We start from the raw sequence: 14,231 nt of genomic DNA on the forward strand, positions 1-14,231 counted from the left end.
GAACAGTTAGTTGGAAATACAGATTGAAAGAGGAGTCAGGGCCGGGCTTGGTGGCTCACACCTGTAATCCCAGAACTTTGGGAGGCCGAGGTGGTCGAATCATGAGGTCAGGAGTTCAAGACCAGCCTGGCCAACATGGTGAAACCCCATCACTACTAAAAATACAAAAAATTAGCTGGGCATAGTGGCGGGCGCCTGTAATCCCAGCTACTTGGGAGGCTGCGGCAGGAGAATTGCCTGAACCTGGGAGGCAGAGGTTGCAGTGAGCCAAGATCGCGCCACTGTACTCCAGCCCAGGCGACAGAGTGAGACTCTGTCTCAAAAAAAAAAGTAAAGAAAGAGGAGTCAGGGCTAGAAGTACAAATTCTTGAGCCATTTGGGATCATGTCTGAAGCTGTGGGAATGAAGTTTCAGGGAACACTAATACATATGGCATATTGAGAAGAAACCAGAGTAGCAACGATTTTGTTCAAAATGAAAGCTCTGATTCAGGATTTTCAGAAACAGAGAGCCGTTAAACAAATGTACATTGAGAGCAAACTACATGCCAGGCACTGTCCTGGAGCTGGAAACTGGAACATACAAGCCAACCCATGGAAAGCTCACATTGTCACAGAGGAGACAACCCTGTAATAAACCTGGTACCCCAAAAGAGGGAAAACACCATGAGGGAAGTAGGCAGGGTGCAGGCAGAGGGTGAAGATGTTGAATGCCTGGGGGAGGCCCAGGCTAGCTACAGGGGCCAGGTAAGGCCTCCCTAGGAGAGGACATTTGAGCTGAGACCTGAGACTAGGAGAGCATTAACTGAGGACTTATTAAGTACAAGGCTCTGTTCTAAGCCTTTTAAGTACATTATCCTATTTAATCCTTACAACAACCCAATGAGGTAGGTGCTGTTATTATCCTCATACTAAAAATAAGGAAACTTAACCACAGAAATGTTAAGTAACTTCCCCCACACAGCTAGCAAGCTGGCACAGAAGACCCTGACTCAGACAGTCTAGCTTCAGACAGCCCGTGCTCTTCCCCGCTGCACAAACTGCCTCTCACTGTCTGTGATAAATGCTCCTATTAATAGAAAATGAGTTCAAGAAGGAAAATGCGATCAACAGTGATCACAGTGGTTCAGAGCACAAAGGCTTCATCTAGAAATAATTTTAAGTGCTTGGTCTTTGCTATGTTACTACTTAAAGTGTGGAAGCTTCATAGAGAATTGGTCAGTAGCCCCAGATTCAAGTGTCAGCTTCGCTATTCTCTAATTTCGTAACCTGCGGACAGACAAGTAATGACCTCTACGAACCTTCATTCTTTTCACCAGTAAGGTAGGTCTAATACACAACTCCAAACTTACCATGAAGATAAAGAGATTCAATCCACATACATGACAATCTCTAGCAGACAATGTTATCTTCAGGAGATGGCTGATGCTGGGGAAAGTTTCCCAGTACAGATAGCACACCATGACGTCTTCGTAAAAAGATGAAGCTCAGAGCAGGTGCAGCACTGAAAACAGGACACTTTAGGTGACAGCCTACAGACTGCTATTCTGAGAAAAGATCTTCAAGGGGTAGAAAAAATCACTTTTAGAACTCCAACTGGTCTTATCAATTTTTAAGGAAAATTAAATTTGTCATATTTGCCATTGTGAAAATCAGCTCAAATATACAACAGGAAAGCTTATTTCACTGAAACTCAGTTCATTCCAGACTCAATAAAAAATGACAGGCTTCTTCTGTGTTCTACCTTTTCCTCCTCTACTTTCCTCTTTCCAGACAATAAAGTATTGTCCCTTGTGAGGTAGAAACAAAACAGCAACATGAAAACAAATTCTAATAGCTCATGGGAAGGACAGACATCATGATCCCAAAGTGCTATGTTAAATGCCTTAAGAGGCACCACTACTGTGCAATGGTGGTCCAGAAAGAGCGCGCCCAGCCAGCTGGATCAGGAATGATTATGAAGAGAGGATTTGATCACGGCTTTACAGGGCTTTAAAGGGCAAACTACGGTTTCCTGCAGTGGCTTTGGTAGAGAGCATCCACAAGGCCCTGAGAGGCATGGCTTTGCCTGCCTTTGTCTCCTACAGCATCCACCACTCTCCTAGCCCCAACTGCCAGCCACAAGGGCAGCTCTGCTCCTCTCAGGATCCTCTGAGGCCACCCCTACATGCAGGGATCTGCACTTGCTCAGGATCAGAAATACTTCTGGTCTGTGAATGAGCTTCACACTGCTGGTCTCAAGGGGAATATAACCTTCTCTGTAAAGCCTTCGCTGAGCACCTGCCCCTCTAAAGTTCCCACCTGGACATGCCCCACATCCACCCCCGTCACTCCTCCACACAAACTCATTAACATTCTATTTTACTTTCTTTATAGTACTTATAAAGTACTATGGAAAATTATCGTGCTCAATTTTTTTACTGGATTATTTTCTGCCCATCCCCATCCTCTGCTAAAAATTGTTAAGTCCCATAAATGCCTAGATATGGTCTTTCTTTTTCACCCTTATATTCCCAGCACCTGGCAGGAAGTAAAGAGCTCAATAAATATTTGTTGAATCAATACAGGAATGCAGAAGAGCATGATCAAGTTGCAGAGGCAGAAAAGTAAAAGCTGAGTTTGAGAAAGTGGTAAGTTGCACGTTCTGGTCCAGCTGGGCATGGATAGATGAGGTGGGACAGGTTGCTTGCAGAGGACTTGGGGCAGTTTGGACTGAGTAGATAGTGCAGAGCTTCTGAGAGTGTTTGACCAGGCAAGGCCCTGAGCAGTGCTGTCCTTAGAAAGGATTAGGCCAGCAACTATGAATAGGATGAACTGAAATAAAGCTAGAAAGCCCAGGGAAAACCATTTGTTACCCCTAAAATTGGCAAAGATTAAGAAGTCTGACAAGTGTTGGAAAGTATCTGGGGAAACAGTTTTCCAACAGTTGAAAATCAATTTGGTAATATCTCTTAAAAGTTAAATTGTGCATATTCAAAATGTAGCAATCCTGCATCTAGGAATCAAGACTAAGAAACTATTGCCTATATATTAGTGAAAAAAATATAAACAATCATATATTCACTAATAAATGGACTGATAAAATGTGGTATTATTTATGCCATGAAATGCTAGACAGCAAATAGCCGGGTGTGGTGGCTCATGCCTATAATCCCAGCACTTTGGGAGGCCAAGGCGGGCAGATCACCTGAGGTCGGGAGTTTGAGACCAGACTGGCCAATATGTTGAAACCCCGTCTCTACTAAAAATACAAAAATTAGCCGGGCTTGGTGGCAGGCGCCTGTAGTCCCAGCTACTTGGGAGGCTGAGGCAGAAGAATTGCTTGAACCCGGGAGGCAGAGGTTGCAGTGAGCTGAGATCGTGCCACTGCACTCCAGTCTGGGTGACAGAGCGAGAGTCTTTCTCAAAAAAAAAAAAAAGAAAAAGAAAGAAAAGAAATGCTAGACAGCAATTAAAAATAATGAATATATATATATAGATGGGTGTGTGTGTGTGTGCACGTGTGTGTGTGTCTGTACAAAAACATGGCTAGACCTTAAAAACAATGCTCAGAGAAAGTAAACAAATCATATAACAGTTGGCTGGGCATGGTGGTTCATACTTGTAATCCTAGCATTTTGGGAAGCAGAGGCGGGAGGATCTCTTGAGGCCAGGAGTTTGAGACCAGGCAACATTGTAAGATCCCATCTCTACAAAAAAAAAAAAAAAATTAGCCAAGCATAGTGGCACAAACCTGTAGTCCTAGCTACTTGAGAGGCTGGAGCAGGAGGATCACTTGAGCCCAGGAGGTCGAGGCTGCAGTGAGCTATGATCATGCACTCCAGCCTGGGTGACAGAATGAGATCCTCTCTCTCTAAAAAAGAAAACATTTATGTATATTTAAATCCATAAAACAATACTACATATTAACTATGGGTACATACAAATATATATAAAATATTAAAAAGTATACAAACTGAACATGGGCTCTGGGAAGTGAGGACAGAAGGAGGAAATGGACTTGGAATTAATATTCAAAGGCAACTTGATTTTATCATCAATGTTTTGTTTTATTTCTTTAAAAAAATTGAAGAAGATATGACAAAAATAATAACAGTTGTTAATTTTGAATGATGGGAATATAGTAGCGTTTACTGGGAATCAGAAGAGAGATGCTAGTCACAGATGGAAAAACTAACAGGATTTCAGGACTGGGTGGGTTAGTAGAGGGTATAAAGTTGCCAGAAAGAACGAAGAATAAAAATTATATTCTTTCTTTTCTTTAACAATGAGAGGCTAGCCACACCATTAAAAGAACTAAAAAACAATGAGCTCCACTTTAGAAAGGTTTGTCTTATTAATGAGACAGCCAAATCATGGCCAGCAAAAAGTCAGAATTCAAAAACCCAAGCTGGCACTGACAAGCTATCCTGCAAAAGTAAGGAATAAAATAGGTGCCTCATTCAATATCCTCAAAAAAAAATTTTTAAGACTTTTTTAAGGTCCATAGAGAGTTCACTTTGTGTATTTGGCTTGTTTACAACATATATAGAAACCCAACCACAGTGTCCTATACTCAACAATTGAAAGTGAGGTTACTAAATTTTAATACACATTTCTAGAAAGCCTGGGGGTCTGACTCTGAAAATAAGCCATTCTAGTAAGACAACTTGTTAAGAGTTTCCTTTCAGTAAGCAACATCGACTAACAGAGCAAACAATGATCCAAATTTACACTGTTCGAATTAAAATTTCAAGCATTAACCTCTATTTTGAAATCAATCTCCCTGTCTTTACATAAAGATTATCAACTTCCAATTATCAGAAGAATGCAGCTTATCTTTATTAAAATGTACCCCCCCAATATTTCATGATATTTACATGTTTGCATAGTACTTTCCTATCCTTTTGTAACATGTTTTGCAACTCCTGAAAAGTCAATAGTCTTAGCTCTTCTCTAAAGGGGGAAACACAAGAGACTGAGTGACTAGTTCAGGGTGACTCACAGGCAGAGTCAACATTGGAACTCGGAACACTGAGCCTGGCATTCCAAGTTCCCAAAACCTTGAGGCTCTTGCTAATCCCAGCAGAATTTTCTTCTTTACAGGGCTGTGCTTCTTTGAGGCCTCTGAGACTAGAATGTTAGTGTCCAAAGCTTTCTCTTTCAAAAGTAGTCAATAGTCAGAAATAAATGTTGGCCTGCAAGTTCAATCTTTTTCTTTTTTTTGAGACAGGGTCTCACTCAGTTGCCCAGGTTGGAGTGCAGTAGCACAATCATGGCTTACTGCAGCCTTGACCTCCTGGGCTCAAGCGATCCTCCTGCTTCAGCCTTCCAAATAGTTGGGACCACAGGCATACCCCACCACACCCAGCTAATTTTTAAAATTTTGTAGACATGATGGTCTCACTTTGTTGCCCAAGTTGGTCTCAAAGTCCTGAGTTCAAGGGATCCTCCCACCTTGGCCTCCCAAAGTGCTGAAATTACAGGTATGAGCCACCGCTTCTAGTCCATCTTCACTTTTTAAAAGGCATAGCTAAACTGCATTGATACAACCTAATGATCTCCCTAATTAATGTAACTTTGCTGGTAATTGTTTTTTTAGAGTCCTCTGTTTAAGATTGGGTTAAATTCAAATCAAATGGTACTGTTTAAACTGTTTGCTGTTTTTTGTGTTTGTTCCCCGTTAGTGCTATCTTGGACATGCTGAGCTTCTAACTGCCACAGGGCTGTTTTGCTACTACTGACCTTATAAAGCCAACAGTTAGTGACTGTGTATATAAGGATTTAAGAGATTATTTTACCAGAATAAGGTTGCTTTGTAGCCATCCGGTGTAAATGGTGTTTCTTTCCATTAACAAATTGAAGAGCTCTTAAGCACCTGAAATTAAATAACAGCTTAAAAAATAAATTAATATACAAAAAATTTAGGTTTACTGACAATATCAGATTATTTCCCATTAAAAAAAATCACCCAACTCTTTTTTCTGATGCCTTTCACGTGGGACTTCAAAAAGCTTTTCCAAATATTTTCACTATCTGTAGTTCTCATTCTAATTTTGTAAATTAAAAAAAAAAAAGAGCCAAATAACTGACCCAAAGTTATGCAGTCAGTTGGTAGTAAAAGCCAAATAAGAGCTCAAATTTAATCTAGTCGTTAGAATCTGCCACAGTGTCCTCTTCGCTAAGTTGTACTACTGCCTCATTTTATTTCCCTTAAAAAATAATTGTTTGCATATCAGTTAAACTGGTCACATTGAAATATAAAACACGCCAGTATTATCAAGAGGTCCTTTCTTAAAGCAACAAAATACAATCACCTTTGTGCTAAAAATAAGCTATAAAAATAATTGTGTACCTTATAAATTTATCTACAAGTTTTAGCCTTCATTATATTCATTAATTAAACTGCCATAAATCTTCCTTTCCTATTGCTAAGATATTCTTAAACTTGCATACAAAGCACCAAAATGCACATCAGCCACAACACACACAAATTCATCACTCAATCTCGGTCCATTACTCTTGCCAAGGTCAGTATAGAATATTCTTGAAATTTTCACTTGTAGAATGAATAGATGTTTTGTAAGGATTATCTATTCAGGCAGAAAAAAAGGGGGGAGGGGAAGAACACAAGAAACAATTAGCTATTCAACTGGTACTGAGCAAATTCCAAGTACGGAATCCTTTGTTTGTTTTTATCTTGTTTTTGTTTTTCTTACCTACCTTGGGACTCCAGTCCACGAGAAGAAATACATCTTGTGAGATTTTTGTACAGCCTTTCTACAAACCTCCGTAGAGAAGGAGACGTTGTTGTCAGTTTTGGCTTCCTTTTGCAGTCAGGGACTGGGACCCAGAGTTATCTATTTGCATTTCAACACCCTTCTTTTGTTTTCGGTCCCACAAGAGGCTCAACCAGTTCAAAAGCAGGTAAGGCAGTTAGATCATTGTAATGACCCTAGAAAACTCAAAGGAGAAAACTTTTGCAAACAATGTGGTTATTTTAGCAAAAAACTACTACTTATTTCATCAGTCAAGCCTACAGAGCTCAAGCTAGACCATCTTGTTAAAAATTTACCTTAGGTTGTTCTTAATTCTCTCTGTGCCCTAGAGAGAGAAGAATGATGGTGGAAAGCAGGGTTAGAGAACAGAGAGGAGGAGAGTTCTGCATCCAGAATCTCTTCTGAATAAACAAATATCGCTAAAATATCCAAATATTCACAGGAATTTACAGGTCACATTATTGCATTTGATTCTGAGAGCAACAGCCTCTGTCATTTCTGCTGAAGGAGCATTCCTATATAACTCTAACAAAATTAAGAGAAAAGAATACTTTCTAGGTGGAGAGAGTTGGAGAGGACGGGTAAAGGTGCAGCCATCCCAGTGTCTGAAGGACACTCAGACACAAATGCTGCTGGTGTATACTTCCTGTCACACCCACTCAGATGACTACATGGTCAAGATTCCAGAATGTGATCCCGACGACAGCTTTCTAAGCATTTAATATTCCAAGAGGCATCAGCAGATAAAAATGTGCAGAGTTGCAAATTTTTAATAGAAAAATCCCCCAGGGTCTATGTTGAAGGTCAGTGTTTGGGAAAAGGCTATATTATAATGGGGCTATGGAGTCACAGATTAGAGACGGAAGGGACCATAAGGTTCATTTCCTCAAGGTCCGTGGTTACACAGCTGGTTTGTGACAGGCTATGAGCTCTCTGGGGTCTCAATCTCACGCTCTTGAGCTTTTGGTTACCAAACCTGCTTAGATGAGATCCACAGTGAGGTTATATTGTAAAAATTCTAAGACTTGGCAAGTCAGCCTATAATGAAGATATATATGCATAGACTTCAAAGGACTGACCTTGTCATCACCTACAATAGCTCTGCCGCAAGATTACTGATTCAGGCATTCAGCTTTTGGATAAGCATCTTTCCTTCCAACTTGCATGACAACAACTCCAACTGCTCTTAGAAATATTGGGGCCTCCAGTCTATTGATCCATCTGCTTTCTCCCAATTCATTAGCCTTCAGCTGTTTTCACTTTCCTTCTTACTCAATTTTTATTCCATGGTCTGTTATTACTATATCCTTTTTGCCAATCCCTTAAACTCCCTTCCTCTCTGTTTTTTCTACAAACCTATCTAGGAAAACGACAGCCCTCATTGAACCCCGCCATCTCCTTTCTCTTTGCTTGCACGCAACAGTCAAACTCTGCTGGAGGTGATCAAAAGCGTAGATAGGTTCATCATCACCAACTTCTTATGGGCCCTCAATACTAACAACTACATTTTTGTTTTATTTTTAAGAAATGGAGTCTTGCTCTGTCGCTTAGGCTGGAGTGCAGTGGCATAAACACAGCTCAACGCAGCCTCCATCTCCTGGGCTCAAGAGATCCTCCTGCCTCAGGATCCCAAGTAGCTGGGACTATAGGCACAAGCAATCATGCCCTGCTCTAACAACTGTGTTACGTTTCTTTTTTCAACTTATTTTCCAAGAATTATTTGAAACTTTCTCCATCACCCGCAAGCTTCCAATACACCCATCTTTCTCTCTTTACTCCTTCATCTTCTGCTTAGATGAGGATTCTCTAGATCTTTTTCCACCCAGATCCCTGCTTTCCCTCCTGCTTCAAGGTGAGTGAGACTCCTCCACAACAAGGGAAATCCCTTCTCTTTGGCCTTGTATTCTCTTCTCTCATCATCACCCACAACCTTTTTGTCATTTTTTTCTCATATCACATCATTTTCATCAGAAAAGCCTATTGGTTCTGCCTTCAAAATATATCCAAAATCCAATAATTTATCATCATCATCACTCCTACCCCCTCATCGAAGACATGGTCATCTCTCATCTAGACTATTAATGGTCTATCAACTTTCACCATTGCCCCCTTACAGTCTATTCTCAACAGTGATCTTTCGAAATCATAAGTCAGAGCATGTTCCTCCTCTGCTTAAAACCCTCCAATGGCTTTCTATTTACTCAGAGTAAAAGCTGAAGTCCCTACAAAGACCTTTAATACCCTACCAGCACTGTCCAGTAGAACTTTCTGTGGCAATGGAAATGATCTACATCTCACTGTCCAATACAGTAGCCACTAGCTACATGTGGCTACTGTGCATTTGAAATGTGGCTAGTGCAATTGATAAAATGAATTTTTAATTTTTAAAATTTTAATTAATTTACATTTAAGTAGCCACTTGTGGCCAGAGGCCACCATATTGGAACACTCAGCTCTACAAGATCTATTCCCCATCCACCCTATCCACCTCTTGCCTGAGCCTATAAAAGCCCACAACACACTATAAAAACTCCTTTGAAGTCAGATGATGTCACTCCTCTGCTTAAAAATCTCTATAGTTTCCCATTTTACTCAAAAGCCAAAGAAAGTCCTTATCTTGATTTACAAGGCCTCATATGATCTGGCCACCTCACCCATCTCTCTGACCTCAGCCTCTAGCTTAATCTCTTCCTTGTTGACTCCACTCCAGGCACAACATTGCCCTCCTTAGTGGAACACATCAAGTATGCTATTGCCTCAGGGCCTTTGCTCATGCTGTTTTCACTGCCTGGAACATTCTTTTTCCCAATATTCATATGACAAACTCAGAGCTCCTTCACTTCCTTAGTAAGCACTCTGCTACAAGTGTCTTCTGATGAGAGGCTGATCTGACCTTACTTGATCTGAAAGTCCTATCCAAAACAATTCCCTCCCACTTGATCACTCTCTATCTCCATACTCTGTTTGTTGTTGTTGTTTTTAAGTAGAGAAGTAGTCTCACCATGTTGCCCAGGCTGGTCTTGAACTCCTAGGCTCAAGTGATCCTCTCACTTTGGGCTCCCAAAGTGCTAGGATTATAGGCATGAGCCAACATGCCTGCTCTCTGCTCTTTCTTTATAGCACAGATCTCCATCTATGTTTCTTTACTTATTACTTGTCTCCATCAGCAGGGGCAGCATCTCTGTTTTATTCACAGCAGTATCCCTAATACCTGAAACAGTACCTGGCTCAGAGTAGGGTCACAAACACGCACACACACACACACACACACACACACACACACACACACACGGCTGAATTTGATGAGTGAATACACATGGCCCTATGGTGCCAAAGACTATTTACAAGTCTCAACACTGGTCTACAACCCAGCACTCTCCTGCTGCTATTCCCTGGGGAGAGGTTGGGACTGGGTTCCTCTCTAAGTATAGTATCCTCACTTGCAAGAGGGCAGCTGGGTGCTTAAACTGTATCAGCTCTAATCTTCACCACAATCCATTTTACCAGTTTGGAAACAGACAGGTTAAGTAAACTACTCAAGCTCAGCTAGAGTGACCCTCACCCTGTTTCTTATGAAGGGGTTTCCACAGTCAATAGAAAACTCTTCTACAGGCAGCTACAAAGATATGCATTGAAGTGACCACATAGCTTCATTATAAATCTCTTTACTGATTCTATGCCTTCATAGGGAAAAATGAGAATAACTACTTTTATAACAGACTAAATGAAAATTAATTTCAGAGAGTTTATAGAAAATGGCCAGGTGCAGTGCCTCAAGCCGGTAATCCCAGCACTTTGGGAAGCTGAGGCAGGTGGATCACTTCAGGTCAGGAGTTTGAGTCCAGCCTGGCCAATATGGTGAAACCCCATCTCTACTAAAAACACAAAATTTAGCTGGGCATGGTGGCATACGCCTGTAATCCCAGCTACTCAGGAGGCTGAGGCAGGAGAATCATTTGAACCCAGGAGTCAGAGGTTGCATGAGCCAAGATCGCGCCACTGCACTCCAGCTTGGGCAACAGAATGAGACTGCCTCAAAAAAATAAAAATACAAAATACAAAAAGAAAATGAATGTTATTTCCACTTTCATTTTTACTCCTCCCCTAACTGGCCTAAGTTTTTCTTACCAAATTGCCATTAGATTTTCAAAATGCTATGCTAAATAAAATACTGTTGGCCTTCATGTTTGAAAATGATGTTGCTGAGAGTGCTATTTTTTAAGCTAGAATTTTTACAGTCAGCAAATAAAGTAATGGTCGGTAAATTCAAGACCAGTTCCACAGAATAGATTGACTTCCTTTTAACCTGCTGGGCAAGAGTGAATGCTATTTTTTTTTCTATGTTTAACATATTCATGAGGAGCAGGGATAGAGTAAGTACATTCAAGCCACAGGTAGTCAAAATAATTTTTTGCCATTGGTTTTAATTATATATGCCATGATATCTTCTGGTAGAAATGACAAACTATAAAGATAGGTTTGTGCTTCACATCCTATTCTTTTCCATTGTTGCCTGACAGAAGCCCCAATGAATAGGGAAATTACATCCTTGGCTACAAAAATGGGCATGCAATTAGAATCATCCAACGGACAAAGAACCTAAAAAATTTTAGGGATTTTGGCACTCCTGTTTCCAATATCTTTGCTTCTTAGAAGGAAAAAACTCAAGTCAAGCAATTTGCTGCAAAGCACAGACACTGTGACACATTCAGCAAGGACCAAGGTGTCCTAATTTCCCTGCAATCAGTGTTTTCTTTTTTTTTTTTTTTTTTTTTTTTTTTTTTTTTTTTTTTTTTTGAGATGGAGTCTTGCTCTGTCACCCAGGCTGGAGTGCAATGGCATGTCTCAGCTCACTGCAAGCTCCGCCTCCTGGGTTCAAGCGATTCTCCTGCCTTAGCCTCCTGAGTGGCTGGGATTACAGGTGGATGCCACAACACCTGGCTAATTTTTGTAATTTTAGTAGAGACAGGGTTTCACCATGTTACCCAGGCTGGTCTTGAACTCCCGACCTCAGGTGATCCGCCTGCCTCAGCCTCCCAAAAGTGCTGGGATTACAGGCATGAGCCACTGCACCCGGCCCAGTGTGTTTTCTTCGGAAACCAATGATTATCCTCCAATTGGTCTGGAAGAGAGAGAGAATCTCCACAGAAAACCTGCATATAACTCTTCTGGCACTGTTCACAGTTAAGAATTGCAAATTACTTTACAAAATTACTTCTCTCAAAATACCCAGACACCTGGCCACAGACTGCCAACCTAATACTAAAATAGGCACCTTGATCAGCTCACGCTGTGACTTTAACCATTCAGCTGCATTTGACCACAGCGACAGATATCTTTGCCAAAAGAAATATGAAAAACTCTGGGAGCTGATTGCAAAATTGGGATTGGTCCAAACTTTTCCAAAGTGATGGCTCTGTTGTCTGGAATGTCTCACAGCCAGGACATTTTTCTCAACACGTCAGCTCTATATAATGAAAGCAATAAGAAGAAAATCAGATGTGCACAGAGCTTTTCTCTCTCTGCCTAATATGGGAATAATAATTAACTGTCCAAAAATGTAAGCACTGGCTCATGGCTGATGATTCACCTTTAAAGTTGTGCAAAGAAAAAGGCCAAACCTTTTGCAAAGCATGTATCAGTCATAAAAATGTCTACTTCCTTTGACACAGTAATCTTATTGCTGGAAACTGATCCTAAGAAATGATCCAAAAGAAAAGATGTTCACTACAAAATATGAATCAACCTAAATGCCCAATAATCAGAAAAATGTTAGCTATAGTACATGTTTCTAATGAAATACTATATTATCATTAAAAATAAATTATGAAGACTGTCACAATATACAGAAAATAGAGGATGATATTAAATTGAAAAGCAGAATACAGATGATATATGTGCATTATGAATATAACCATGTTCAAATATATTTGCACAGAGGAAAAATGGAATAGCAGTATTATGGGTGTTTTTTCTCTTTTTAACATTTTGTAATGTTGATCTACTGTTTTATATGTAGAGAGAGAAAGGGTCTCACTCTGTTGCCCTGGCTGGAGTGCAGTGGTGCAATTATAGTTCATTGCAGTCTCGAACACCTGGGCTCAAGCAATTCTCTCACCTCAGCCTCCTCAGTAGCTAGGACTACAGGTGCCAGCCATTGTGCCAGGCTTGTTTTAATCTTTTTTTAAGTTATGTACAATATTTCATATTCCTTTCTATACAATAAACCAGCACATAAATAATTTTTAAATTATCTAAAATAGCTAGCTCATTTCAAATATTTGTCCTTTAAAAATTATGAGCAGGACACTTGCCCAACATTTGACAACCAGCAGAATATCCATGCCAGTTTTGCTTCAACCCCTCTGACCACTCCAAAGTCAACATAGATTCACCTAAGCCCAGAATATAGTCGGATCAGAAAGGCACATGGCTCTGCCCCTGAAAAACTCCTGGCTCAGGCCCTCCCCTAAAGAAACCAGCCAGGTGGTTCCATGGGGATCTGGGTCCCGAGCCTCTACTACTATTTCCAGGGAAGACCTGGTTTGTGAAAACCTCTGGGTCTACTTCCTGCAGCCACCCTTGTGCTCTGGAAGGCAAGTAAGCCATTTCAATATGGACTTTGGATCCTGGACCCAAAGGTAGAAAAATACACAGCTATGAGGCCTTTGTTTTGATGTTTGTTTCTCAAAAATGGATTTTTTCACACCCAGTACATGTGGGGAGCAGCTGTTTTGTAGACAACCCTACAGATCTCCACAGAAAGATGAAGAGGTGGGGGCTGCCCCACTTGCTTCTGGTCTGCTACCAAGAAGAGTTAATCATCTCCCCAAATAGTGCAGGGAATGAGTTTTAACCTTGAATATACAGGCTTTGCGCTCACAGATACTGGTCATTAATGTTTATGCATGAAAGGTGACAGTTTTTGTTTGGTATACAGAGCATTGAAAAGGAAAAAGGAACTACTAATTTCTACAGGTTTCATTGTCTTGAGATCAAATATTCATAGCAACTCAGAAATCTGTCTAGAGAAATGTAGCTATTGCTAAGCTAATGCTTAGTAAACTCAAATAGACCCCATTTTATTACTGATATATATGAATTATATTGTTTCAAATGCATGCTTTTATCAATAATTCTTCAAAGGAAAAATTTTTAATTTTACAGAATCTTTTTTTTTAATCTATCAAGCTTTTTCTAAACCATCATACCTATGTTGCTCAAAAATTGTTGAGACCCGGGGTCAAGGAGACATTCACATTGGCTTTCAACGGAAAATGTGCTTCTCTACACTAAAATGGCCACTTAAGCAAGACTGTGGAAATGATTTATCTCACAATGTTTAAAGTTGGATCCTGACTCCAGCTATGTCATGACTGCACAATCAGTCAGAGACAAGTAGTTACACGCTCCTAAATAAAGAAGAGCACTCTAATGGCCAAATGAGTTGAGCATCTAACATACTAAAATTACC

General features: G+C 40.4%; 1 long non-coding RNA gene across 1 annotated transcript in view, besides 3 other annotated features; it reads right to left on the reverse strand.

The window, feature by feature from the left end:
- Window positions 1-6,479, reverse strand: part of LINC00862 (long intergenic non-protein coding RNA 862) — a 31,249-nt gene extending 24,770 nt beyond the window's left edge. The window contains exons 1-4 of the long non-coding RNA NR_040064.1: window positions 6,334-6,479; window positions 5,780-5,856; window positions 3,733-3,852; window positions 1,352-1,558 (exon numbers count right to left, since the gene is read on the reverse strand). This is a non-coding gene — a long non-coding RNA (long intergenic non-protein coding RNA 862). The remainder of the gene's footprint in view (window positions 1-1,351; window positions 1,559-3,732; window positions 3,853-5,779; window positions 5,857-6,333) is intronic.
- Window positions 4,833-5,363: an enhancer, noted in NCBI's record as "H3K27ac hESC enhancer chr1:200341274-200341804 (GRCh37/hg19 assembly coordinates)". NCBI's record gives its function as "activates a minimal SCP1, AML or CMV promoter by ChIP-STARR-seq in primed H9 embryonic stem cells {active_cell/tissue: H9 hESC(primed)}" and the evidence as "EXISTENCE:reporter gene assay evidence [ECO:0000049][PMID:30033119]".
- Window positions 6,760-7,959: an enhancer, noted in NCBI's record as "BRD4-independent group 4 enhancer chr1:200343201-200344400 (GRCh37/hg19 assembly coordinates)". NCBI's record gives its function as "activates an origin of replication core promoter dependent on BRD2, P300/CBP, MED14 and CDK7 cofactors, and independent of BRD4, by STARR-seq in HCT116 cells {active_cell/tissue: HCT116}" and the evidence as "EXISTENCE:reporter gene assay evidence [ECO:0000049][PMID:35650434]".
- Window positions 13,459-13,508: an enhancer, noted in NCBI's record as "active region_2297". NCBI's record gives its function as "activates an Ori minimal core promoter by ATAC-STARR-seq in GM12878 lymphoblastoid cells {active_cell/tissue: GM12878}" and the evidence as "EXISTENCE:reporter gene assay evidence [ECO:0000049][PMID:35858748]".

Source organism: Homo sapiens, chromosome 1, assembly GCF_000001405.40.
Source record: "Homo sapiens chromosome 1, GRCh38.p14 Primary Assembly".
Classification (NCBI taxonomy): domain Eukaryota; kingdom Metazoa; phylum Chordata; class Mammalia; order Primates; family Hominidae; genus Homo; species Homo sapiens.